The sequence below is a fragment of the Homo sapiens genome, chromosome 20 (assembly GCF_000001405.40).
Source record: "Homo sapiens chromosome 20, GRCh38.p14 Primary Assembly".
In the NCBI taxonomy this organism is placed as follows: Eukaryota; Metazoa; Chordata; class Mammalia; order Primates; family Hominidae; genus Homo; species Homo sapiens.
In genome coordinates, this window is record NC_000020.11 from 61980578 (window position 1) to 62005945 (window position 25368).

At 50.6% G+C, this 25368-nt stretch overlaps 2 protein-coding genes across 3 annotated transcripts in view, besides 3 other annotated features; both read right to left on the reverse strand.

The window, feature by feature from the left end:
* TAF4 (TATA-box binding protein associated factor 4) overlaps positions 1 to 25368 on the reverse strand; it is a 91084-nt gene that overhangs the window by 5780 nt on the left and 59936 nt on the right. For both annotated transcript variants that reach the window (NM_003185.4, XM_047440429.1), the window contains 7 exons: positions 23154 to 23301; positions 22583 to 22697; positions 19975 to 20144; positions 19547 to 19677; positions 18406 to 18531; positions 17559 to 17615; positions 16973 to 17092 (listed from right to left, as the gene is read on the reverse strand). In NM_003185.4, the coding sequence (NP_003176.2) occupies positions 16973 to 17092; positions 17559 to 17615; positions 18406 to 18531; positions 19547 to 19677; positions 19975 to 20144; positions 22583 to 22697; positions 23154 to 23301 (867 nt within the window). The remainder of the gene's footprint in view (positions 1 to 16972; positions 17093 to 17558; positions 17616 to 18405; positions 18532 to 19546; positions 19678 to 19974; positions 20145 to 22582; positions 22698 to 23153; positions 23302 to 25368) is intronic.
* Positions 8714 to 9676: an enhancer, noted in NCBI's record as "H3K4me1 hESC enhancer chr20:60564347-60565309 (GRCh37/hg19 assembly coordinates)". NCBI's record gives its function as "activates a minimal SCP1, AML or CMV promoter by ChIP-STARR-seq in primed H9 embryonic stem cells {active_cell/tissue: H9 hESC(primed)}" and the evidence as "EXISTENCE:reporter gene assay evidence [ECO:0000049][PMID:30033119]".
* LOC105372704 (uncharacterized) lies at positions 20151 to 22051 on the reverse strand. The gene is made up of 2 exons (XM_011529123.2): positions 20570 to 22051; positions 20151 to 20342 (listed from the first exon to the last, which is right to left on the reverse strand). The coding sequence occupies exons 1-2, from the start codon at positions 21234 to 21236 to the stop codon at positions 20170 to 20172; spliced, it is 840 nt and encodes a 279-aa protein (XP_011527425.1). The 5' UTR covers positions 21237 to 22051; the 3' UTR covers positions 20151 to 20169.
* Positions 22793 to 23293: an enhancer, noted in NCBI's record as "H3K4me1 hESC enhancer chr20:60578426-60578926 (GRCh37/hg19 assembly coordinates)". NCBI's record gives its function as "activates a minimal SCP1, AML or CMV promoter by ChIP-STARR-seq in primed H9 embryonic stem cells {active_cell/tissue: H9 hESC(primed)}" and the evidence as "EXISTENCE:reporter gene assay evidence [ECO:0000049][PMID:30033119]".
* Positions 23294 to 23794: an enhancer, noted in NCBI's record as "H3K4me1 hESC enhancer chr20:60578927-60579427 (GRCh37/hg19 assembly coordinates)". NCBI's record gives its function as "activates a minimal SCP1, AML or CMV promoter by ChIP-STARR-seq in primed H9 embryonic stem cells {active_cell/tissue: H9 hESC(primed)}" and the evidence as "EXISTENCE:reporter gene assay evidence [ECO:0000049][PMID:30033119]".

Genomic DNA, 25368 nt, shown 5'->3' on the forward strand with positions numbered 1-25368 from the left:
TGAAGAACAGCAGTAGTAGCGAAAAACACTCAGACACACAGCTTAGAAAGTTAGCATCACTTCCGGGAGGCCGAAGACAACGTGGCTGCCGAGCTGATGTCTCCCAGCCTCTCTTCCAAACACAGTTCAGCACAAGCAAGGAACGCAGGTTTACACCAGCATCGCCGTCTGCACTGGACGAGGGCGCCTAGACTTCAAAATCACTGCAAGTCGGCGCAGAGTCAACACACGCCTGAGCCTGACCCCCCAGTCTCTCCCCTGCAAGGCCGCGGTGGGGCGGGGTGGGACAGGGGTCTGTGGGAAGCCACTGCTGAAAGGCTAAGCCACCCCAAGTCCCAGGGCCTGAGAGGTGTCCAGGAAGGTCAGTGCAGACCACAGGGCAGGGACCACTGAGCACAAGACGGGAAGGGGTTGTCAAGGCAACACAGCATGTCCTGAGAGGAGCCCTTTGGCCACTGGGTGGTGAGGCAGAAAAGAAGGAAAGGGGGAAGTTCTGGGTCCTGCAGGAAAGGGCCGGGAGAACTGGAGGACAACTTCCGTCCTGCACACCAGCAAGGACCCGCTCAAGACCTGGACTTCCCCATGTGGCCAGCAGACGGCACCAGGAAACCACAGATGTGGCAAATACCCCAAGGCCACCAGGGCAAAGGGACAGAGGCGGTAAAGCCACCCAGAGCCACGGGAAAGTCAGAGAAGAGTCAAAAAATGGGGGCTCCACACACATCAGAGAAAAACCTACCCTGGAACAACAAGAAAATTAACAACACTCTCAATACAGGAAAATCTGCTTAAGTGTGCACTTAAGGATATGAAAATCATCACCTCAAATCAGAACCTCAAAAACTAGGAGACAAATTTTTATAAAAACCATAAAATTACAAATGCAACACCAAAAGGAAATAAGAGTTGACTGGACTTAAGAAAGTAATGGAAGGAAGAGACAAAATTATCTCAGAAATGAATAAACTGCAAACAGTCTGAGGGAGGGGAGGCGGTGAAAATGCAGTAAGGAACCTACGAAAGGCAGGAAGCCAAGAGGACAGAATCGAGACACAGAAAGGAGGAAAAGGGTCAGGAGAAAACAGGGCAAATGAGAGCTGGGCGAATCTCCCCCTCAGGCAGAGTGGGACATTCACACCATGACCCAGGAGACGTTCACAAAAGACAGCAAACCACACCCCACCCGAGAGGAGACACCAAACCCACACCCACCCGAGAGGAGACACCAAACCCACACAACCCACACCCACCGGAGAGGAGACATCAAACCCACACCCACCCGAGAGGAGACACCAAACTCACACCCCACCCGAGAGGAGACATCAAACCCACACCCCACCCGATAGGAGACACCAAACCCACACAACCCACACCCACCGGAGAGGAGACATCAAACCCACACCCACCCGAGAGGAGACACCAAACTCACACCCCACCCGAGAGGAGACATCAAACCCACACCCCACCCAAGAGGAGACACCAAACCCACACCCCACCCGAGAGGAGACACCAAACCCACACAACACACACCCACCGGAGAGGAGACATCAAACCCATACCCACCCTAGAAGAGACACCAAACTCACACCCCACCCGAGAGGAGACACCAAACCCACACCCCACCCGAGAGGAGACACCAAACCCACACCCACTGAGAGGAAACACCAAACCCACACCTACCTGAGAGGAAACACCAAACCCACACCCCACCAGAGAGGAGACACCAAAACCCACACCCCATCCGAGGAAACACCAAACCCACACCCACCCTAGAGGAGACACCAAACCCATACCCACCCGGAAGAGACACCAAAACCCACACAACCTACACCCACCCAAGAGGAGACACCAAAACCCACACCCACCCAAGAGGAAACACCAAACCCACACCCCACCCAAGAGGAGACACCAAAACCCACACCCACCTGAGAAGAAACACCAAACCCACATCCACCCGAGAGGAGACAACAAACCCACACCCCACCCGAGAGGAGACACCAAACCCACACCCCACCCGAGAGGAGACACCAAACCCACACCCACCCGAGAGGAGACACCAAACCCACACCCACCCGAGAGGAGACACCAAACCCACACCCCACCTGAGAGGAGACACCAAACCCACACCCCACCCGAGAGGAGACACCAAACCCAATGCACTGCGAGGGCCCAGTGGGCGGCGGGACTCTGAGATGCAACCTCATACACTACGGGCTCTCAGAGCCGACGGCAGGGCTGCCGGGGAGGAAGAGAAGAGAACCCATGAAGGGGAAGGAATCAGCCTCCATGGCTCCTCCCAGCCTGCACCCCCCTCCCCACCCGTCCCCCACAAGGCAAGAACAGAAAAGACTTCTGAGCCAGCCAAGCCGCCTCCGGTCAGGGCCCAGAAACAGCCTCAGGAATGGGAGGAAGAGCCTCCTCTATTGGGCGGGAAACTGCAGGGAAGAGACATCCTCAGGCTCTGAGTGAGGCGGAGGCGGGAGAGGGAGGCTGAGGACCAGAGTGTGCCTCCCCTGTGGAGGTCCTGTCACCAAAAGGCAGAGGAAGAAGCCACTAGGGCTCACAGACGCCGATGGCCAACAGTGGAGCTGCCAGGCCCGTGCAAACTGCTCGACTGCAGCGTGAACAGTCCTGTGAGACAGGAGACCAGGGCGTCGTCACTAGTTTAAGTACAAAAGTAACCAGGAAGACACAGATACAAACCTTCCTAAATACAAAAAAAAAAAAAAAATCAATTAAAAGAGCAAAGAATAAACATCTCACAGAAAAAGAAACACAGCAAATATTTAAAATTCAGGCCAGGTACGGCAACTCACACCTGTAATCTCAATGCTTTGAAAAGGGAGGCCAAGGCAGGAGGATTCCCTGAGGCTGGGAGTTTAAGACCAGCCTGGGCAACATAACGAGACCCCATTCCTACAAAATATTTTAAAAATTAGTCAGATGCGGTGCTGTGTGCCTGTAGTCCCAGGCTACTGGGGCGGCTGAGGCAGGAGGATCCTTCTTAAGCCCAGAAAGTCAAAGTTGCAGTGAGCTATGATCACGCCACCAAACTCCAGCCTGGGTGACAGTGAAACCATGTCTCAAAAGATAGATAAAAATTTACATAATTATAAAATATTATGATAGAGTCAAGACAAAACATGTCAGTCCTATCAATAAAGGTAAATGGGCTTAACTCACCTATTAAAAGAGAAAGATTTTCAATTCAGCTCATAAACTGAGACCAAACCATATGCTACAGAGAGACACGGAAAACAAAGTGATTCAGAAGGTGAAAAGTAAGGATCTCAGGGATTGTAGGCTGGGGGACAAGAAAGACACCCAGGGTGACGGTCTGACGTGTGACAAAGACAGATACTTTCTAATGCAAAAAGTCACAGCTGCCAATGAAGATATGACACGTGGATATTTATGCACCAAACAACACAGCAGCCCCTACCAATAAAAACGCAGGAGATGCGACGAGACAGAAACATGCTAGCAGCAGTCATGGAACAGCATGCCTGCCGCAGAACAGGTCAAGTGGACAAAACTAAGCCAGCAGCCGGAAGACTGAGCGACCTCATCACTGAGGAGCGGCTCGGGGATGTCCACCCGCTCATCACGTGCCTCAGCCCTACGCACCCACAGCACACCCACAGACGCTGACTGCACCACCCAGACCAGCAAACACAAGAACTATGACAACACACGTGGGACACGTGTGAGGCTGGGGAAAGAGCTGCCTCTCTCACACGCAACAGGGGGACTTGGCAAAACCTAACACAAGTGCACACGCACCAACCCCTCAATTCAGCAATCCCATCTCTCGGAACTCAGCCCCAACAGCAGGCCTCCAACAGCACGAAGACACACGTACAAGGCGACTCTTGATGGCATCACCTGTCACCGTGTCGACAGCCCAGATGTGCACACGAGAGAGGGTGAAAAGCTACGGGACATCAGCAGGATGAAGTGCCACCCAGCTGGGAAAGAGGAAGCTCCTGATGCAGTGACACGAGGGCAGTGCCCGGGACATCAGCACGATGAAGTGCCACCCAGCTGGGAAAGAGGAAGCTCCTGATGCAGTGACACGAGGGCAGTGCCCGGGACATCAGCACCCAGCTGGGAAAGAGGAAGCTCCTGATGCAGTGACACGAGGGCAGTGCCCGGGAACTCTGTCAGCTGCAGAGAGCGAGAGACTGTCACTGACCTGTGCTGCACTGCCAGGGAAGGAAAAAGATGCAGGAGCTCATCTGTTTGCATGGTGAGTAGAAACGGGATGCAAAAATGGAGGGACGGGGACAGGGCAGGAGGAGGGAAGGTGCAGCAGGACTAGGGAGGGTGCAGCAGGAGGAGGGCGAGCAAGGTGGGAGGAGGGCAGGGGTGGCGGGGGTGGGAGGGGGCGGAAGGGGGAGGACGGATGTGGTGGGGGGAGGGAGGGCGCAGCAGGAGGACGGGGCAGGGGGTGGGAGGATGGGTGGAGGGTGTGGCAGGACACCACTCCAAGGGGCACTTCTTTCTATACGTTTTTGTACAGTTCTGACTCTCCGGACCATGGCAACGCTCCACCTCTCACAAACAAAAAATCAACCAAGATTTGGAGGAAACCAACAGGAACACAAACAGTAACCACTAAACCCGAGCTGTCCTGCAGGTGAGTGACGGCCACACTGAGGGACTAAACCCGAGCTGTGCTGCAGGTGAATGACGGCCACACTGAAGGGTGGGCAGGAAGCCAGGCCTGGTTGTGTGTGCCTGCAGTCCCAACTCCTGGTGGGGGCTGAGGCAGGAGGATTGCTGGAGTCTAGGAGCCTCAGGCCAGCCCAGGACACAGAGCAAGACTCCATCTCTAAAAACAAATAATAAAAATTTAAACATAAAAAGTAAAAATGAAAGGATAAACAAGAACAATACTCATCTATGTAAATTTGAAATGTACTATTTTGACCTGTGAGGTTAAATAAAAGGGCCGCACAGAAATGCTACACTCCAGGTAGTTAGCACGTTTGTTTCTCACACTGCCTGGCAATCCCGAAGGTCCTTTATCTGTATGTTGGAACTGAACACAGAAGTACATCTACTGTGGGGGATGAGAACCAGGTTCCCATGTAAGGCACGAGGGAAGCTAGAATGAGCCTGTGACGTCAGACTAGATCCTGAGGCCTGAGGAGAAGTGAGAAGGCCGCTGTGTTCAGCACAGGTGCAGGTGCAGACGAGTGTTTGTGTGTGTGCACATGCCCCAGTCCACCTGGAAGGCCTGGATGCAGGGACACCCCAGGAGCAATGAGCACACCTGCTGCCCAGAGTATGGTTCTAAACACCATCCCCGACCAAAGGAACCACCATCCCCGACCAAAGGAAGCACCATCCCCGACCAAAGGAACCACCATCCCCGACCAAAGGAAGCACCATCCCCAATCAAAGGAAATACCATCCCCAACCAAAGGAAACACCATCCCCCATCAAAGGAAACACCATCCCCCATCAAAGGAAACACCATCCCCAATCAAAGGAAACACCATCCCCCATCAAAGGAAACACCATCCCCAACCAAAGGAAACACCATCCCCAATCAAAGGAAACACCATCCCCCATCAAAGGAAACACCATCCCCCATCAAAGGAAACACCATCCCCCATCAAAGGAAACACCATCCCCAATCAAAGGAAACACCATCCCCAACCAAAGGAAACACCATCCCCAACCAAAGGAAACACCATCCCCCATCAAAGGAAACACCATCCCCCATCAAAGGAAACACCATCCCCCATCAAAGGAAACACCATCCCCAATCAAAGGAAACACCATCCCCAATCAAAGGAAACACCATCCCCAATCAAAGGAAACACCATCCCCAACCAAAGGAAACACCATCCCCAATCAAAGGAAACACCATCCCCAATCAAAGGAAACACCATCCCCAATCAAAGGAAACACCATTCCCAACCAAAGGAAACACCATCCCCCATCAAAGGAAACACCATCCCCAGTCAAAGGAAGCAATGCCCCTCCAAGAAATCATGGAAAACAGAAGATGTGCTGGAACATTCTGTGGTGTCATAAAGTCACCAAATCCTCTTGTCGTGTCACAAGGACATGGAACTAACCTGAAGGAGCTCATGATGGCCAGAGCCGGGCTGCTCAAGCAACAAAATAAATAAACTGTAGCAGCAGCTTGTTACCTACAGAAAAAAATAAATATCCATGCTAATATAAGTAAGTAACTGAATGAATTAACAAGTGGGAAAAATAAGGGAGACGGGGCAGCTCTCTTTACAGAATTCCAATTAATAAATGTAAACAGAAAGACAGAAATAGAAAGTCAGCATCAGACGCCACAGCAGCCTCCACTGGCAGCGTCCTTGCGAATGCCCACGCAGGGGCCAAAGGCCTGATAAGAAATGGTATCAGCAGCCTCCAAGTGTCTCCTTGAGATACCTACTAATTACACAGAGAAAAAGAGTAACTCGACAATGGAGTAACCAGCCAACCCCACCTTAACCAAGCTTCAAAGTCAGCAGCAGCAGCAGCAACAGCCAGGCGACACCACCTGCCTCCCAATCCAGTGCTCTGAGGACACGCCAGCCGGCCCGCGGCATTCTAACTGAGATTCTACAGCCTGGACGTCATCACGAGGAGACACCAGACAAACGCAAACTAAGGAAACGTCCACCAGACAAGGACCAGAGCTCTCCAGCACGTCAAGGCCATCAAAGACCAGGAAAGACTGAGCAGCTACCACCAAGCAGAGGAGACCAAGGAGCCGAGGAGCCGCGAGGGTCCCGGGGCAGGAAAGGACGTCGAGGACACTGGTAAGAATCGAATAAGGAGAAAATATTTGCAAAAGACACATCTGATAATGGACTATTATCCAAAATATACCAAGAACTCCTGAAACTCAACAATATCAACAATAAGCTGCTCCGCATCCTCCGTCACCAGGGAGATGCAAATTAAAACAAGATGCACACACCTACTAGAGCGGCCAAAACCCAGAACACGGACAGCACCGAACGCTGGCGAGGATGTGAAGAAACAGGACCCTCAGCCGTGGCTGCTGGGAAGGCAACATGGCGCGGCTGCTGGAAGACAGTCTGGCGGTTTCTTACAAAACTAAACGTGCTCTTACCACACGGTCCAGCAATCGTGCTCCTTGGTATTTACCCAAAGGGGCTGAAAATTTATGTCCACACGAAATCCTGCGCACAGATGTTTATACCAGCTTTCTTCATAATTGCCAAAACTTGCAAGCAGCCACGATGTGCTTCAGTAGGTGAGTGGATAAAATAAACTGTGGCACAGCCACACACTGGAATAGTGCTCAGTGCTGAAAAGAAATGAGCCATCAAGCCATGAAAAAACACGGAGGAACCTCAGGTGGATATTCCTAAATGAGAGAAGCCAGTTTGAGAAGGCTGCATAATTTCAACCACATGATATTCTGGAAAAGGCGAAACTAGGAGACAATAAGATCCGTGGACCAGGGACTGACAGGAGGGGAGGGATGAACGGGCAGAGCACAGAGGAATTCAGGGCTGTGGAACGACTCCACATGATACGGTACTGGTGGAAACACGTCATTCTACAGCTGTCAAAACCCACAGAATGTACACACCAAGAGTGCACCCTGATGGGAACTATGGAAGCTGGGTGAGAAGGACGTGTTGACGTGGGTTCATGGATTCTAACAAACGCACCACCCGGCCAAGCGGGGGAGGCTGTGCACCTGCAGGGAGGAGGGTATGGGAAGTCTCTGTACTAAAAAAGTCCCCTCCTTTTTCCGTGAACCTAAAACTGCTCTAAAAAATAGTTTATTAATTTATTTAAAGTTAAATTAAGGGAAAAAATCAAATAAGGTCTTCAATGAACAGTATCATACCCACGTTTAACATGAGGCTAAACTGGGTGAGGGGTAGATGGAAACTCTCTGTACTATTTCTGTAACTTTCCTGTAAGTATAGAATTCAAAAGTAAAAGTTAAAAAAAGAAGACTTACCCTTAAGAGGTATCCTACAAGAAGAAAAGAATGACTGAGCATCATCTTTGATGAAGAAAGGTGTCTGAAGGACTTTTACTTTCTGGGTTTTGTGTGAATTGTTACACAGATAACACACAAAGATCCCCAAAGTTCACAAAAGGCAAGCGAAACAACTGCGAAACAACTGCTCCCCAAACAGACGCCGGCGCCAATCTTCACCCACTCGGCAGTGCCTCACCTGGGTCCTCCAGGTCCGGCGTTCTCGATACTCCACGTACCTCCCAGCCCCACACCCCGGCCCTTCTCATGAGTGAGGACGCACGAGCTCCCTTACTCTTCCCTAGAGGCTACTCCACACACGTTAACACTCACATCCAAAGTTCATCAATGTGCCTTTCCCATCCAATCCTCCCTCCTGGCGCCGCGACCCCAGCAGGTAAAATGGTTGGGAAGCTGGTTACACGGAAGAAAAAAACAAATACACTGAATGATGGGAACCAGGTTCCTCACTGTCTGAGAAGGGACCAATAGACAAGGATGGGGGCGGCTAAACGGAAGCCCTGGCGTGCTAGGCAAGGACCGTAGTCTCAACACGAACACACAGGACCCCTTCGACATGGAAGGGCGCACACCACACACTCCCCTACATGCATTTGGGTCCCGAGCTCTGGCTGCTGGCACGGCCTGGGAGCAGGGGCCCCAGCAATCAGCACACCAAGTGCCCCGATCCTGGCCTCTCAACACCAGACTCTACTAGAGGAACCAGGGGAAGCTGCAGAGTGGGCAGGGAAAGTGCACGTGGCAATAAGGAATGCCACAGACGAGGGAAGTGTCAAAGGATACAGACTCCAGCCACAAGAAGCTCCCACCAAGCAAGCCTAGAAATAATGAGAGTGCTGATCAGAGCCCACCAAACACAACAGGGGTCCCGGCACCCACAGCACTGCAGTGAGTGAGTGAATGAGGGATCCCGGCACCCACAGCACTGCAGTGAGTGAGTGAATGAGGGATCCCGGCACCCACAGCACTGCAGTGAGTGAGTGAATGAGGGATCCCGGCACCCACAGCACTGCAGTGAGTGAGTGAATGAGGGATCCCGGCACCCACAGCACTGCAGTGAGTGAGTGAATGAGGGATCCCGGCACCCACAGCACTGCAGTGAGTGAGTGAATGAGGGATCCCGGCACCCACAGCACTGCAGTGAGTGAGTGAATGAGGGACCCTGGCATCCACAGCACTGCAGTGAGTGAACGAATCCATGAGCGAACGAATAAACCAACGAGGAGGGGCGAAGCTCTGCTTCCCAGCAGAGGGCAACCAGCAGTAACAGAAGGGGTGCCTGAAGCATCCCCACGACTGAGCAGCCCCAGGGGTGGCGACACAGGCAGGCGGTTAATAACATTGAGGCTGTGGGTGGAGGTGCGATAAGGGTGGGGCATCTGTGTGAGGTGGGAACGTGTGAAATGCTAACACGGCCATGGGAATCGGCCACGACGCTGTGGAGAAACACAGCCCACAGCAAGTGCTATGCTGGGGGTGGTAGCATCAGTGCTAAGCACCTGACCAGGAGGGCTGCCTAGTAGCCACCTAAGGTATCAGCCGCACGAGCATTTAGGGTGCTGGGTATCGTGTCAGAACAAGGATTAAAGTGTACATATTGAAAAAGTACAGGAGTGCACGCAAACACATGTGGTGTAGCGGGGACGAAGCAGACAGCGTGATGCTCATACACCGGAGTCTGCACGGAGCTCCTTACTCTGTTCTTGCAACTTTTCTGTAGATTTGAAAACTACTTCAAACTAAAATAAGTAATTTTCAAAGTTAATGTATTCTGGAAGACGATGACAGGGGTAGCATAGTTTCTGGATCTTCCCAAAGTTCCACATAAAAGAGCAACGACACAGCAAAACCAAAAGCCAGCGGACAATCTTTAGAACAAAACTGATGAAGATGAACCACAAGCAGCCATCACCTGAAGGACGCTGCAGAACTGGACCCCGACGGGCCTGGACCCAGGAGCCAGCAGACTTCCTGGGAAGAGCAGCAGGTCCCTCCAAGAGCCGCAGTCAAACCTGGGGCAGGGGAGGACCAGGGAGGGCAGCCTGGCCACCGCAAATGCCCACACTGACCTGCCAGGGCTCCTGCAGCACAGGGCCTCACGCAGGAGAGAACCTGCTGGGAGTGAATCAGTACTGAGCAGGACAGGGACAAGGAAGGCAAAGCAAAGTCCAGATGCTTGGGAGGTGCACAGAGCCCCGGAGCCACAGACGCTGAGGACTCCCGTTCTTAACATCACGGGAAAGTAACCACAGAGGAGCACCACAAAGTCAGCAAACGCTGCAAACCACGTGTCCTGTTACAAGTTCGAGAAACCTAAACTCACGTCGAAATTAGCAACAGAAAGACATTCAGGTCAAATCCCAGACAGGCTCCCATGAGAGAAAAAGAGGATAAAAAGCAGAAGAGCATCCCTACAGACCACAGAAGACCTCAGAAACACATACTCAAAACAGCAGGTAAACAGCAAATCACGCCTTAAGAGAAATGGAAGCCAAAAAGGACAAAAAAGATAATTTTTTAAAAAAGAGAAAAATTAGGCCAGGCACAATGGCTCACACCTGTAATCCCAGCACTTTGGGAGGCTGAGACGGGCAAATCACTTGAGGTCTGGAGTTTGAGACCAGCCTGGCCAACATGGTGAAACCCTGTCTCTACTAAAAATACAAAAAAATTAGCTGGGTGTGGTGGTGCACACCTGTAATCCCAGCTACTCAGGAGGCTGAGGCAGAAGAAAACCAGGAGGCAGAGGTTGCCATGAGCTGAGATCACACCGAGATAGAGCCACTGCACTCCAGCCTGGGTGACAGAGGGAGACTCTGTCTCAAAAAATAAAAATTAAAAAAAAAGAGAGAGAGAAATTAGGCTGGACACAAGTGGCTCAGCAGCATTTAGGGAGGCCAATGTGGGAGGACTGCTTGAACCCTGGAGGTCGAGGCTGCAGTGAGCTGTGATCACACCACTGCACTCCAGCATGGGTGAGAGAGACCCTGTCTCTAAAAAACCAAAAAACAAAAAAAAAGAGAGAGAGAGATTTTAAAAATTAAGAGACTGTAAAAAGTGCTCCAGCAGGCAAAGAAGATACAACACGTGGAAAATGGGACTCTCTGAAGAAAGAAACAAAAGAACAGAACAAACACAAAGGATCATTATTGCAGATGTTCCTAAGGAGACTTGAACCGCACTGAAAGAACACAGCCAGTACTGAGAACACCACCCCAGCACAACCAAGCCCAGCACGCACTCCAGTGGGATGAGCCGGCTTCCGAGAAAAAGGACACCCAGGGAAGAAAAACACGTGGCCTACAGGAGGTAAAATGAGGCTCTCATTAGATTTGGACAGTAACACTTTAGGGAGGAAATAATCCAGAGTAACATCCTTAAGACACTTCAGTAAATACAACGTGAGCCAAAAAACAGACCTTCAGGTACAAAGGGCACAAACTCATCAGCAGGTGGGAACTTGGGAGTGGCTGCTCCCATGAAGCGTTCCAAAAGAATCTAGCAGAGAATGAGATTTGGAAAAATCAAAATGACTACAGAGACACAACATAAAGACGAGTCACGGCATTAAACATGTCATTATTTATGGCACTAAAACTCAAAGAGGGCGAAAGGGAGAGCTTATGGTGTGTAACAGCTAAATGTTTCGACAACATAAATACAGCACAAAATACAAAACGGGGCCAAGGGAGAAAGCACATGAACAACTTTCGGCTGTTTTCACCACCCTCGGCAGGAGTGCCCATATTCTTATTCTCAGGCTATGTCCAAAGGTAGGAGATATTTTAATTCTATTATCTCCTATGTCCATAACCAGGATCCTTTTATTTTAATCTCTCCTTCTCCTGCCCTCCCCTCCAATTCCCCACCCCCCAAGCCCTTGGGGCAGCCAAGAGCCAGAATTCTTACTGTGAAGATAAAGACGTCATTTTGAACATGGTAACTCCTACACCTCTGAATTTGAACTACCTGAATTGGAAATACCCATATAAGCCCATGAGACCATGTTTTACACACATTTCCCAGTGCTGTCCACTGAAAAGGCCAACCCACCCCAGCAGCAATGACATCCCTAGTCCCAGCGAGTGGTCTTCAAACGCCATTTCCCACTAGAAGAAACCAGTTCTTGGAGAAATGACTTTTTCGGTCTGAAACAGGAAAGGTGTAAGGTGAGCCTGACACATGTTAACGTCCAGACGGCAAGGACATCAGCCCCACGTCCCAGCGTGACTCAGGAACCAACCTGGAGATGCTTCCATTGGCCAAAGATGGCACAGTCTGAACTGCAACCAAAATGAGAACTGTAATAGATGGATTATGTGCAAGTCCTTGAGATCACAACGGTAAAAAATAAAAACAACACACTAAAACGTAAAACTACTGGTCACCCTCTGAGGGTGACAACCTGTTGATCCATTATCTTCACCTGGATATATGGAAGAAAACATGCTCGCGTTTACCCTGCGTCTCCTCTATGAGCTGGACCCACCAAGCGGCCAAACAGTAGTGGAGGAAGAGTCTCCAAAAGAACACCCCAAAGAGGAAGTGAGAAGGAACTCACAGACTAAGAGCACCGCCATCTCCAACCTCAAGGGACTAGTGGCCCTAGGCATGAAGCATGACCAGCCACCGTCCCCGGGGCGCACAGCCCAGACCCGTGTCCTCGCAATGAGGGGACACAAGAGCAGCCAGCGTCCTGCCGCAGGGAGGCAGCCAGAGTTGGAGGAGTCTCTGGGTCCAGCCACCAACGCGCAGGAAGTTCAGAGGAGGGAGGAACAGGCAGAACTGCACCACAAGGGCACCGCCAGCAATCCTGACGCAGGACACACCCCAGGCCAAACGACCTGGTCCTTCAACCGACAAGTTGTAAGAAAAAGAAAGTGATGGAGGGGTGGGAGGGCCCTACAGATTTTTAAAAATGTTAAATTCTGGTTTCCTTTTAAGTCAAGTTTAATGGGAAAGGACGGCAAGGCTAACCAGTGTCTCGCTGCACAACTGGGGACTGGCAGGTCCTGGCGTTTCTTCCTGGCTTTGCCATAAAGTCAGGGCAGCAGTTACTTTTGGAGGGAGGTAAAAGCAGCTGTGATGTGGTGGGGCACATAAAAGGGTGGGGGATCTCCCAGGTGACTGGCATGTTCTAGTTTGGTTTTTTTGTTTGTTTTTTGTTTTTGAGATGGAGTCTCGCTCTGTCACCCAGGCTAGAGTGCAGTGGCACAATCTCAGCTCACTGCAACCTCCGCCTCCAGGGTTCAAGTGATTCTCCTGCCTCAGCCTCCCGAGTAGCTGGAAATACAGGTGCCTACCACCACGCCCGGCTAAATTTTGTGTTTTTAGTAGAGACAGGGTTTCACCATCTTGGCCAGGCTGGTCTCGAACTCCTGACCTCATGATCCACCCGCCTCGGCCTCCCAAAGTGCTGGGATTACAACGTTCTAGTTCTCGAACTGATGATGGGCTACAAAATCTATGCCTTTGAGAATTCAGTTAACCATAAAAGAAATCCAGGAAAAAAAAAAAAGGCTAATCAATATCTTTCACCTCCCCCACAAAAAAGTAAGTCCTTAACTCTAAGTGCTCTTCTCGATATATGTTGTTGTTGTTCAGAATTTCAGTTCTTTCTTGGTATACAACTACATTTTCAGCGTGGGCTGCGGGCCTCACAGCCAGTGGGCACTCAGGCCTAGGCCCAGGTGAGTGCAGGTTCCTGCTGGGGCCCATCCCGGGCCAAGACTCCCAGCCACACAGTGGCCAGAGCCCGTGTTAGCCTTGGGAATCTGTACTTACTTACTTATTTCTGGCCCAGAGAAGAATCCCCCTATTTTATCTATATCTCACACACGCATTTATAAAGACAAGATCTTTATTTTCTTCCTACATTGTACCAGACATTTTAACCTGTACTGTCCCAGGAGGGATTTCTCTGAACCTCTGGGATGCCATATTGCCAAAACTCTAGTGTCTGTTACACCTGGAGTCCCTCCTCTCCACACCAGGCAGCCATTTCTCAGAGGTCACTGCTAGCATGTGGGCAGGCGAGCCCCAGCACGGAGGTCTGGGACATCCCACCCACACATTTCCAACAGTCCTGGTGGGGAGGGGGAGCTCTGTCCTCATCAGGTCACTACCCTGACCCTGTCCCAGAGTGCACCTGCATACCAAGAAGCGGTGCAAGACCAGCCAATGTGCATCAGACAGCAGCTGCCACGGGGCTGAGAGCGAAACAGAGAAGTCAGGGGTCGGGCAGAGTAGAGGGCAGTCCAGAAGCATGGGAGTCCAGCCTGCCCGAGTAACAAGACCTTTCCTTGTACGTAAGGATCACACCCTAGAGTAAGACCTACCTTAGCAAAGCCTAAAGCCAAACCCAGACAGGAAAGACAGAGTTTGCAACTTGAGTCCCACTAAGTTAAAGGGGCTTGAGAAACACCTTGAGGTTTCCCCAGATCCTTACTGACAAAATGAAAAACAAAACCACACAAACTCAAGATGGTCAGCCAGTAACTCAACCGCCTGCAAGAATCAACTCTTCAAGGGAGATCACAGAGTCCAGTCTCTTGGCAGGTAAGCATGAGACATGCAAGGAGACAAGAAAGTGTGCAAGGCCGAGGAAAACAGCAGTCGAGAGAAACTGAATGTGAGATGGCCCAGGTGTTGAACTTGACAAAAACCTTATAAAACAGCTTTAATAATAAGCTCAAAGAATTAGGGGAAATATAAACTGTAAAAAAGAACTAGATGGAAATCTTAGAATTGCAAAATAAGTTAACAAAATGGAAACTTCAACTGGAGATGGCAGAAATCCATCTGCCAAGGACCTCGTAGACACATCAGTAGACATCTTCCAGTCTGGAAAACAAAGAGAAGACAGACTGAAGTCCAGGAACACAGGCTCAAAGACCTGCAGGGCAGCATCAACAGGTCTAACATACATGTAACTGGAGCCCCAGCAGAAGAAAGTAAGATTGAAATGGAAAAAAAAATTTGAGCCGGGCGCGGTGGCTCACGCCTGTAATCCCAGCACTTTGGGAGGCCGAGGCGGGTGGATCATGAGGTCAGGAGATCGAGACCATCCTGGCTAACAAGGTGAAACCCCGTCTCTACTAAAAATACAAAAAATTAGCCGGGCGCGGTGGCGGGCGCCTGTAGTCCCAGCTACTGGGGAGGCTGAGGCAGGAGAATGGCGTGAACCCGGGAAGCGGAGCTTGCAGTGAGCCGAGATTGCGCCACTGCAGTCCGCAGTCCGGCCTGGGCGACAGAGCGAGACTCCGTCTCAAAAAAAAAAAAAAAAAAAAAAAAAAATTTGAAGAAGTATTAGCCAAAATGTTCCAAATTTGATGAAAGACACTGACCTACAGATCTGTGAAGTTCAGAGAACCTGAAACAGGCTGAATATCCTGAGAACCACAGCAAAACACAACACAGACAAACCTCTAAACTGAATATCCAGAGAACCACAGCAAAACACAACACAGACAAACCTCTAAAAAATAAAGAACATCTCAAAACAAAGATTGAAAGTCATGCCAGAGACATGAAGCATACCACGTACAGGGAACAAGCTTAAAAATTATAGCAGGACCAGCCCATGCTACATGGTGAGACCCTGTCTCTACGAAAAAAAAAGAAACTACAAAATTAGCCAGGCATGGTGGCACGCACCTGTAGTCCCAGCTACTCGGGAAGCTGAGGCAGGAGGATCACCTGAGCCCGGGGATGTCGAGGCTACAGTGAGCCATGATCGTACCACTGCACTCCAGCCTAGGTGACACAGTGAGACCCTGCGTCTAAAAAAATTAAAAATTAAAAATTACAGCAGGACATCAGAAGACAGTGGAACAAGGTCTTGAAAGTTTCGCAAGAAAGAAAAAATCAGCCCAGAATTTTGTAACCAGTAAAAATATCCTCTGAAAATGAGGGTGAAGGCCAGGCGTGGTGGCTCATGCCTGTAATCCCAGCACTTTGGGAGGCCGAGGTGGGCAGATCATGAGATCAAGAGATCGAGACCATCCTGGCCAACATGGTGAAACCCCGTCTCTCCTAAAAATACAGAAATTAGCAGGGCGTGGTGGCACACGTCTATAGTCCCAGCTACTCGGGAGGCTGAGGCAGGAGAACTGCTTGAACCTGGCAGGCGGAGGTTGCAGTGAGCCAACATCACGCCACTGCGCTCCCACCTGGCGACAGAGCAAGACTGTCTCAAAAAAAAAAAAAAAAAAGAGAATGAGGGTGAAATACAATTTTTCAAGTAAACAAAACCAGAGAATCCATCACCAGTAGATCTGCACCACAAGAAATCCCAACAGCTCTCCTTCAAGCCAAAAGGAAATGGTGGCAGACGGAAACAGACCCACGGGAAGGAATGAAGAGTACCGGAGATGGCAAATAAGGAGGGAAACATAAAAGACCGTTTTCTTTCTTCCTGTAATTTACTTAAAAAAAAACAACTGACAGTTGAAAGCAAAAATAACATGTCAAGGCTGGGTTTATAATTATTAGACTAAAAGATACAACCACAAACATAGACGAGAAACTAATGGAATTTGGAGAAACAGCAGCGGGCAGCAATTCTTCCCCTTCATTCCACGAACTGTCCATTCTCCTACAGCAGCTTATCCCACAGACACTGTGCAGGAAGCACAATCAGCAAGATCCCTATTCGGATCATTCTTCTGACAGTTATAACTTCCCCACATCCTTTTCAAATCCAGCCTAAACCTCATCACAGTAATCAAACTTCCTCACGAAAAAGACTTTCAGCTCAAGTGATAGCCACAAATAAGCTGATTTGGATTTAAAATGTCAAACGTAAAACAAATACTCCAGAAAAGGTGAGACAAAATGTAAATGGTAAGAAAGCAAATTCCCCTATGTGTGTCCGTCCCCTAGAAGAGGGTGGCTCTAAGATGTTCCCCATGTTTCCCCCAGGACCTCGATCCCACAACACTGCCGTACCTCTGCTCCTGAGCCCGGCCCCGGACAGTCCACTTTCCTCTTTTTCCTGGGCCCGATCGCTGCTAGTGCTGTGAGGTTGGCGTCCCGCTGTCTCATTTGTGCCAGTTCCTGTTGCTGCATCTTTTATTTTGAAAAGGAGACAAGGAGCATCATTTCTTGCATGTTTTTTACTTACTACAAAAGTAATACATAGATATGAAAGGGTTTTCTGTAGTTTTCTAAATCATAACTTCTTTAATGTTTTGACTTTCTCAATAGTAAGCATATTCTATAATCCAAAAAATAAGATTTTTTTTAATGCAACAGATGTTTGTCTTAAAACTCTCAGAAAATATACGCAAGTCAAAAGCACAGAGACTAATGCCCCCCGCAAAGGGAAGTCACCGTTGAATTTAAAAGTAGGACACCAACTGTTTGCACAGGAAAATACCTCTGATGTTGTATTTATTTAAACTTGGCAAACATTTTAAACAGACACGCAAATGCCTATCGTACAGAAGTGCCACGGTTTCCTTAGCCCCCCTCCCGTGGGGCGCTACAGTGCACAGCAAAGTGCCCACGAGCACTCACGACTAACAGGGCTCACCTCCTTTGCCTTCTGTTTCAGCCTTAACTGTTCTGGATCTTCTTGTCTTGACCGAGACTATTTTTGAAAGAGGCAGAAAAGAAAAGTAAGTTATGAACTAAATGTTTATCATTTAACAAATGTGTTATCTTATTTACTATACAATAACATCTAGGTAATGTTAAAGAATGCATAGCAAATTTGTGAAATGCTTATAGCCAAAGATGAAAATTTACATCACACACCATGAAAAAAGCCAGTAATCTTGAGAAAAGTCAGTAACATTTGGATGTAAGATACAGTCTTTGAAACACATCTACCAATCGCAGGCTCTGACTTGACCTGATGTGACCGCATGATGGCAGGCAGAATGGGCCTCATAGGCTCCTTGCTGTCCTGTCCCACACACCAGGGACGGGACAGCCTGTGGCTGTGATCAAAGCAAGTGCTCCTCCCACTCCACAGTACCCACCCCCGTCCCTGGGGAACTGTGGTCTCCTGTCTGATTCTATTAATGAGCAGTGCCTCGCCTGGCTGTGAATGTTCTAGAACAAGGACAACGTGAGTGTGAAGAGTCCAGTCCAGCGCACACAGGGGGCTCTAGGAACATGTGCTTCACACCTGGGTGTGACTGTGTGGAGCGTGAGGTGCTGGGAATCTTAAGAAGCCCCGCTTTTCAAGCATCTACGCTAGTGCCAAATGAATGAGGCTTCTCTTTGCAGCTCCACTGACAGCACCCATCACCTTTGCTTCAAGGCCAGCCCAAAACATGCTCTGACCACCCAAAACCCCACTGTCTCAGTGAGCTCATCAGGTTGTGGCTGAGACGGAGGTGCCCAGACGGCAGCAGCAGACACCCAGCACTCGCCTTTGCTGCCCTCATCAGGATCTCCCGCTCCTGCTCATCCTTCCTCTGCTTTTCGATTTGATCAAGCTGTTCAAAAAACTTGAGCTGTGCCCGGACGTCACTCGCCTGCTCATATCTGTCGTCATCCTATGAAGAAAGTTAAAATACTGCTTGTCATAAATCTGAGAGCCCAGCAAGCAAAGGGGTTGTCTAGCACCACTGGACCATCCGTGCACAACGCCCTCCCTCCGTCCAGTCTGAATGCGGCGAGGACCCGATCCCTCCCACCCTGCAAATGCTGCGCCCGAGAGCTCTATCGATGCTCACGTCCACAGAACGAAGTCTCGTGTTGGCTGTCTCAGGGGCACACTTGTGGGAGAGTGTCCCTTTTATACACTTTGATGCTGTCAGATTTCTTAAAGTAACATTTACCTTTTTTGCTGCAACACAGAACTACTTTTACAGCAAGGGCTAAGTGTGTTTATTTCAGTGCTGCCCTGAAGGCACTGCCTCCCGGCTGTGGCAGCAGGCACCACCTCACCCAGTGTGCCCTTGGAAGAGTGTTCATATGTGACTGCTGGTGAGGAAGGCACGTTTTACTTGGAAGAGCTGCTTCATGAGAATAGGGCTGCGGCACCTCAGGGTCTGCCAGTTCAGCCCATGGCCCAGAGAGAGAGGCAGGTGCCTTCCAAAAGGTAAACCCGCCAGGCATAGAGGCTCATGCCTGTAATCCCAGCATTTAAGGAGGCCAAGTCAGGAGGATCACTTGAGGCAAGGAGTTTAGGACCAGCCTGGGCTACATCGCGAGTCCCTGTCCCTTTTATTAAAAATACAAAAATTAGTTGGGCACGGTGGTGTGCGCCTGTAATCCCAGCTACTTGGGAGGCGAAGGCACAAGAATCGCTTGAACCCACGAGGCGGAGGCTGCAGTGAGCCAAGACTGCGCCACTGAACTCCAGCCTGGGCAACAGAGTGAGACCCTACCTCAAAAAGAAATCTTTCCAAAATCTAGTCCTATAAGAAATCCAAAACACGTTCGTAAGGAACATGGAGGCACTTGGGACCCACCGCCCTCTGCCTCGGTGTGGGGAGGAGGCTCCCAGCCAGCAGAGAGTGGGGGCCAACAACATAAAGACGCTCTCCTCGGCAAACAGCCTGTTACCTTGTAAGAAAAGTTCTTCTGCTGAGCTGTTTCTGATATTTTCTCTACAAGATTCTGTAGCCTTTGTTGCGTGGCATGTGATACATAACTTACTACATCTGGATGTAATTCCGTTATACCATGTTTTTTACCTAAAGGTCAGGCAAGAAAAACAGTATTTTAAAATCATTAAGCACAGTTCTTTCTTTACGGCTAATCTCTGATCCAGCAGTTACTGCTTTTATACAACCCAAGGGGAGCCCAGAAAGGCTGGTGGGGTGGAAGGCAGTGGTACCCATATTTTACCCAAGAACCACCACCAGCAACCATGTGGAAATCACAAACTCAGACAAAACACATGACCAGGTGTCAGGTGTGCTCACCTGAAGCTCCCATGCCCCAGCAGCGCAGCTGTTTAATAAGAACTCAGTCATTAAACACCAACGTACCTATTTCTAATATTCTTCTCTGCAAAGGCGCTTGGAGGAGGAAGGTTTCATCTTTACAGGACCGCGTTAGCGTGCCCACCAATTCAGAGTTCGTGGCTAATATTCTTGCACTTTCTTCTGACAAGTTTACTCCAGCCATCGATGCAACATCATTAATGTCATCATCGTCCCTTGAGGAAAGAAGGGAAGATCACTTTAACTGTACAAGGAATTCATCGGGAGGTGGGCTGGGGTGGTAAGGGCAGGAAACCCCACGTGGAAGGCAGGGCCGTGAGGAGGCCAGGCCTCTGTCCTCCCCGCACCTGCACCTGCTGCATCTGCCACAGCAGAGAGGGTGCCTCGCTGCTTTCCTGGAAAGCTCGATTGTTCTGCGGAAGGAGAGCTGTGAGTTGGCGCCGGGTTAACATCTACACACAGATGCGCAGGGGACTCAAGTCCAGAGAAAGCAAAGCCGGGAGCAGCGCGGGGACTTGTGGGGGTCTGATCTATGCAAAGCTTTTTAAAGCCAGAGGCAGCATTAAATTCTTTTTAAAGGCTCAGAAGTTGGAAGAAGAGTACGCACAATTTTTTCCTGAATCACCTGAAAGTTGCTAACCTGACTTTCCTCCACCCGGAACATTCTGCACGTGTTTCCTACAGACAAGGGCATCCCCTCCAGAAGCAGGATGCCATTGAGACCGGGCCATGATGAATGGCCCCTCCCCAGGCCCTCCCCCGTAGGACCCGGTCCCAGCAGCGCCTCTCCCTGCAGGACAGTCTGCATCCCAATCCCAGCTGCCACGTCTTGTCCGGCTCCTCAAGCTGGAAGGTTCCTCAGCCTCTCCTGACTCCTGGGCTGCCCCTGACACCTGGAAGGCACAGGCCAGCTGTGTGCAGGACGTCCTCTTCCAGGCTGACTTCGGCCCCCTCGTGAGGAGATGTGAGCTAAGAGTCCTGCCGGGAATTCCACATGCACGCAGCCTCCACTTGCCGCCTCCAGCAGTGGGCTTTGAACGTGAGGCCGGGGGCCTGCCTGGCGTCTCCTGGGGTCGTTGTGTCTCGGGGAAGAGCTCTACAGCAGTTCTCATGCCCAGTCCTCCTATGGGCTCCAGGTGCTCACTCAGGGTCTTGGCATCCCTGGTGGTCACGGGCTGTGGCTGGGCTGCACAGCTTAGGGCTCCAGCTGAAGGACCCGGCCATGGGAGGGAGGCTGCTCTGCTGACATCCACGTCCACGTCATGCCCATGTCCACTGCTCTCTGACACAGGACGGTCTCCGCTCATCTTGTATTTCCTTATCCCAGTCCCGCAATCAGCCTTTTCTCTCAGGAGTCCTTGTCATTTTAGTGGAAAACGGTTTTTAGAAGACAACATCTGAACACTAGGTGTGCTCAGTGTTACTGGGGCGTTACTGTTCCCAGGACCCTGCGGTGAACAAAGCTAGAAACTTACGGCAAGACCCATGGTTATCCATGCCTGCCGACACACTGAAACCCAGGGGTTTGCGTCAGCATTCCAATCCTGAGCCAGCCCACAGGGGTCACTCTCCTTTATCCCTTCTGCCAGGCCGCTGACTCCTTGACAGCAAAATACCAAGGCTTCCTGCAGCCTTGATTAATTCTTTCACCCGTGTATGTCCCTAAGTGCCCTCCCTTCTCACTGAAGTATCAGCGTCACGCTGGGCCCAGGCATGCTGGCCACCTCTCCCTGCTTGGGCTGGGACTCTGGCTCAGGCCACAGCCACTCCCCAGGCCTGCTATGCCCTGCCTGATGCCTTTAGGGATGAAGTGTCTGGGAAAGGGAAAATTCACAGTAAGACTTCCTGAAATACACACAACTCCACCGCCCCTTGATCACAACAGAGATCACTCCAAGACTCTCCCACTGCTCAGGTCCCATAAGCACCTCCCTGACTGAGGTGATGCTCAGACCACCTGCTTTCCAGGAGGCCCAGGCAAAGCACAGCAGTTATTTTTCTAGAAACAGGGCCTCACTCTGTCACCGACGCTGGCGTACACTGCTAAAACCATAGCTCACTGTAACACTGAACTCCTGGGCAGAAGTGATCCTCCTGCCTCAGCCTCCCAAGTAGCTAGGCCCACAGGCACACACCACCAAGCCTGGCTAATTTTTTATTTTTTGTTGTTGTTGAGTAAGGTTTTACTATGTTGTGCAGGCTGGTCTCAAACTCCCGGGCTCAAGCGATTCTCCCACTTCAGCCTCCTGTAGTGCTGGCACTGTAAGCGTGAGCCACTACGCCTGGAGCAGTACAGCATTTCTGAGGGTTCTGAAGTTGAATACATGGAAAGTGAAGCATTCTATACTAGGAATGCAATGAACTCAAAATACGATGTTATACTAAAAAATGAATTTCCTATTAGTTCATATAAAAATAATCAGTTGATTCGCTTTCTGGCTATGTGTATGAAGCAAAACCTCTTTGAGCCAACTGTATGGGAAAACACACTTGTGTGAACGTGAGGTCAAAGTGAGCGTGAAGCAGGAGCCTTGGAGCCCCGGCCGCCAGGGCCACGTGGGAAAGACCCGTGGGCGGGAATGGAGCAGCACGGACTCTGGACTCTTCTCCGCTCTGGCCACGCTTCTCCAACGTACACAGGCCCATTCCTTACCGAAACGAACCTCCCCCAGGCTCCTTGAGTTTATTTTTCTGTGCAGCAGCTGCTTGTGCCGAGACAGCAGAAAGGGCTTTGGTTCCAGGTAACACGGCGGGTTTCACCACAGGGACTACAAAACAAACACACAGTGGAAACCACACAAGGCTTTTATTAGATCAACTATGTGCTTTGGTGCTTTACAGGCTCAAGGGCACAGCTACCACTCTCCTAATTAGCTACAAGAAAGTTTCCAAAAACTTCATATTAATAACTCTAAATTACAGTACAAAGTGTAAGCTGTACCTCTCGAGCATTTATTTTCCTGTATTTCATCAAGGTTTTTAAAGTGCAGGAATGATTACAGATAAAGAAGCTAACCATGGAAAATACATAAAATTAAAAATCATACTGACAGTGGTGATGGTTACACAACACAGTAAATGAAATCAGTGCCACTGAACTAGATACTTAAAATGGCCAATTTTATGTAAATGTACATTTTACCCAATTAAATAAAAGCCCAATGGCAGCTGGCTCTGGGAGCAGCCCTTGGTGTTGAGCGGCCAGGGGCCCGCGAGGCCCTCACCTGGCTGCAGTGGGTTCAGCTGGATCTGCTGAGGCGTGGTGAGCATGATCCGGTTGTGAGGCTGCCGCAGGGCGACCATGGGTGTCTGCGTCAACGTCACCTGCGGGGGCCGGATCAGGGCTCCTGGCTTCGGAGGCTGCTGGATGACCTGAGGCAGAGCCAGCAGAGAATGGTGAGCATGCTCCCCGAGGGCCAGGGGCCACTCAGTCCCTAGCAGGAGGTTCTTCCCTTCCCTTCCTTTGCACCCCACGCCCCCAGTAAGAAGTCCTAGGAAGACCCCGTGTGCAGCTCAGCCCCAGCAGGCTGCAGGACCATGCTCTGGCCATGGACTCGGCCAGACCAGGGCAGGACGTGGGCGAGGGGTGCCCGTGTGAGCACAGAAGGGGCAAGCGGGAGCAGATCTGCTGCCTAGAAGCTGCCCCTGGGCATTGGTCAGGGCCTGGAGGGGGCGGGTGGCAAACTGATGCCTGCTGACCTCAGCAACCCAGGATGGAGCAGACCACTGCCCCCCAAATATTAGCAGAGGTGACATTGTTGCCTGGTGGCTACAGGTCAAGTGGTTCTATCTCATCTGAATTTTCTTTTTTCTTTTCTTTTCTTTTTTTTTTTTTTTTTGAGACAAGTCTCGCTCTGTCGCCCAGGCTGGAGTGTAGTGGCATGATCTCGGTTCACTGCAACCTCTGCCTTCCGGGCTCAAGTGATCTTACACCTCAGCTTCCCGAGCACCTGGGACCATAGGCACCCACCATGTCTGGCTAATTTTTGTAATTTTTTTTTTGTAGAGATGGGGTTTCACCACATTGGCCAGGTTGGTCTTGAACTCCTAGGCTCAAGCGATCCTCCCACTTTGACCTCCCAAAGTGCTGAATTACAGGCATGAGCTACCAAACCCAGCTCCCTTTCTGAATTTTCTGTAAGGCGGCTGAGGGCTTTTCTACTGGAGTGGGGTTAGAGTTCCTAAGTCCTGCCTGAACTTGGCCCTCAAGGGCCTCCACCCACTGCTCCCAGCATGGCCAGCTCTGTCCGCCCAGCCCCTGCTGGGCCCCTCGTGGCAGGGTCTGCCCAGCTCTGCTGTCATCCTGCCTCTCACTCTCACCTCCGGCACAAGGCAGAGATCCAAAACCTGGCAGCACTGACCATGGCCTATGCTCTGGCCCTGTCCCCAGGATGCTGGGGCCTAGAGACACTGGCATCCTTGTCAAAAGCCAATGCTCAAGTCCATAAGGCCTGGCCTCAAACCTCTGGGCCCAGGTGCTTCAGAATTTAGTCGCTACCATTTTGCAAAGGTGCCCTGGCAGGTAAACTCTATGCTGCAGAACATGTGTGGGGACCTGGGGAAGCGGCCTATAATGCAAACATGTCTCCAACGAAACAGGAACACCCACACTGGACAGGAAGAGCCTCAGGCAGCTCAGGCAATGCTCAGGCCAGGCCCTGCGGCGCAGGGAACCTGCCATCAAATGCCCGGGCCAGGCCCTGCGGTGCAGGGAGCCTGTCATCGAATCAGGGAGAAGCCTGGGTTCTGCCTCCACAGGCTTCAGGGTGCAGGCAATGGATTGGATGCCCTGGATCCCACTGGCTGTGCTCTGCAGACTCACACGTGGTCAGGAGGAGCCCAGGGAAGCAGAATGCAGAGGTGATCCTGCTGCCAAACACAGCACCTAATTCTAAAAACACCCATGCTGCTTGTGTGTGACTAAGCACCAGAGGTCAAAACTTGGCAAGAAAATGATTGCCCACAGGCTGTGCCTGCTTAAACAGAACCCACCTTTTTGGGTAAAGTAGCTCCACTGACTAGTGAACAGGGAAGTTCTGTCCTTACACTAAAGCAAGAGGCACGGCACATCTCTTTCCCTCTGGAGTCAAAAGGCAGGCAAGGAAGCCCTCTCTTTACACAGGCGCTCAGCCCTTCCCTGGCCTTTATAAGGGACACCCTCCCTCCATGCCATTTCACCCTGTTCTCCTCGCTATTATCAAGACAAAAACAAATGCAACTTGAACAGAGCACAAGAGCCAGCCCCCTAATGGCTACTCCTCACCCAGCTGGTTCTGATGTGTACACCATCACAACACATACCAGCTCATGATGAGGGAGCCCGCACCATTTTGTTGTTTAAGCTGTCTTTAGAGGAAGAAAACACCTCTGAAATTTTTTTAAAACTGCCCCTCTACGTTTGGTGAATCCCTCTGCCCATGAAAGGGAATGTGCTCAAAA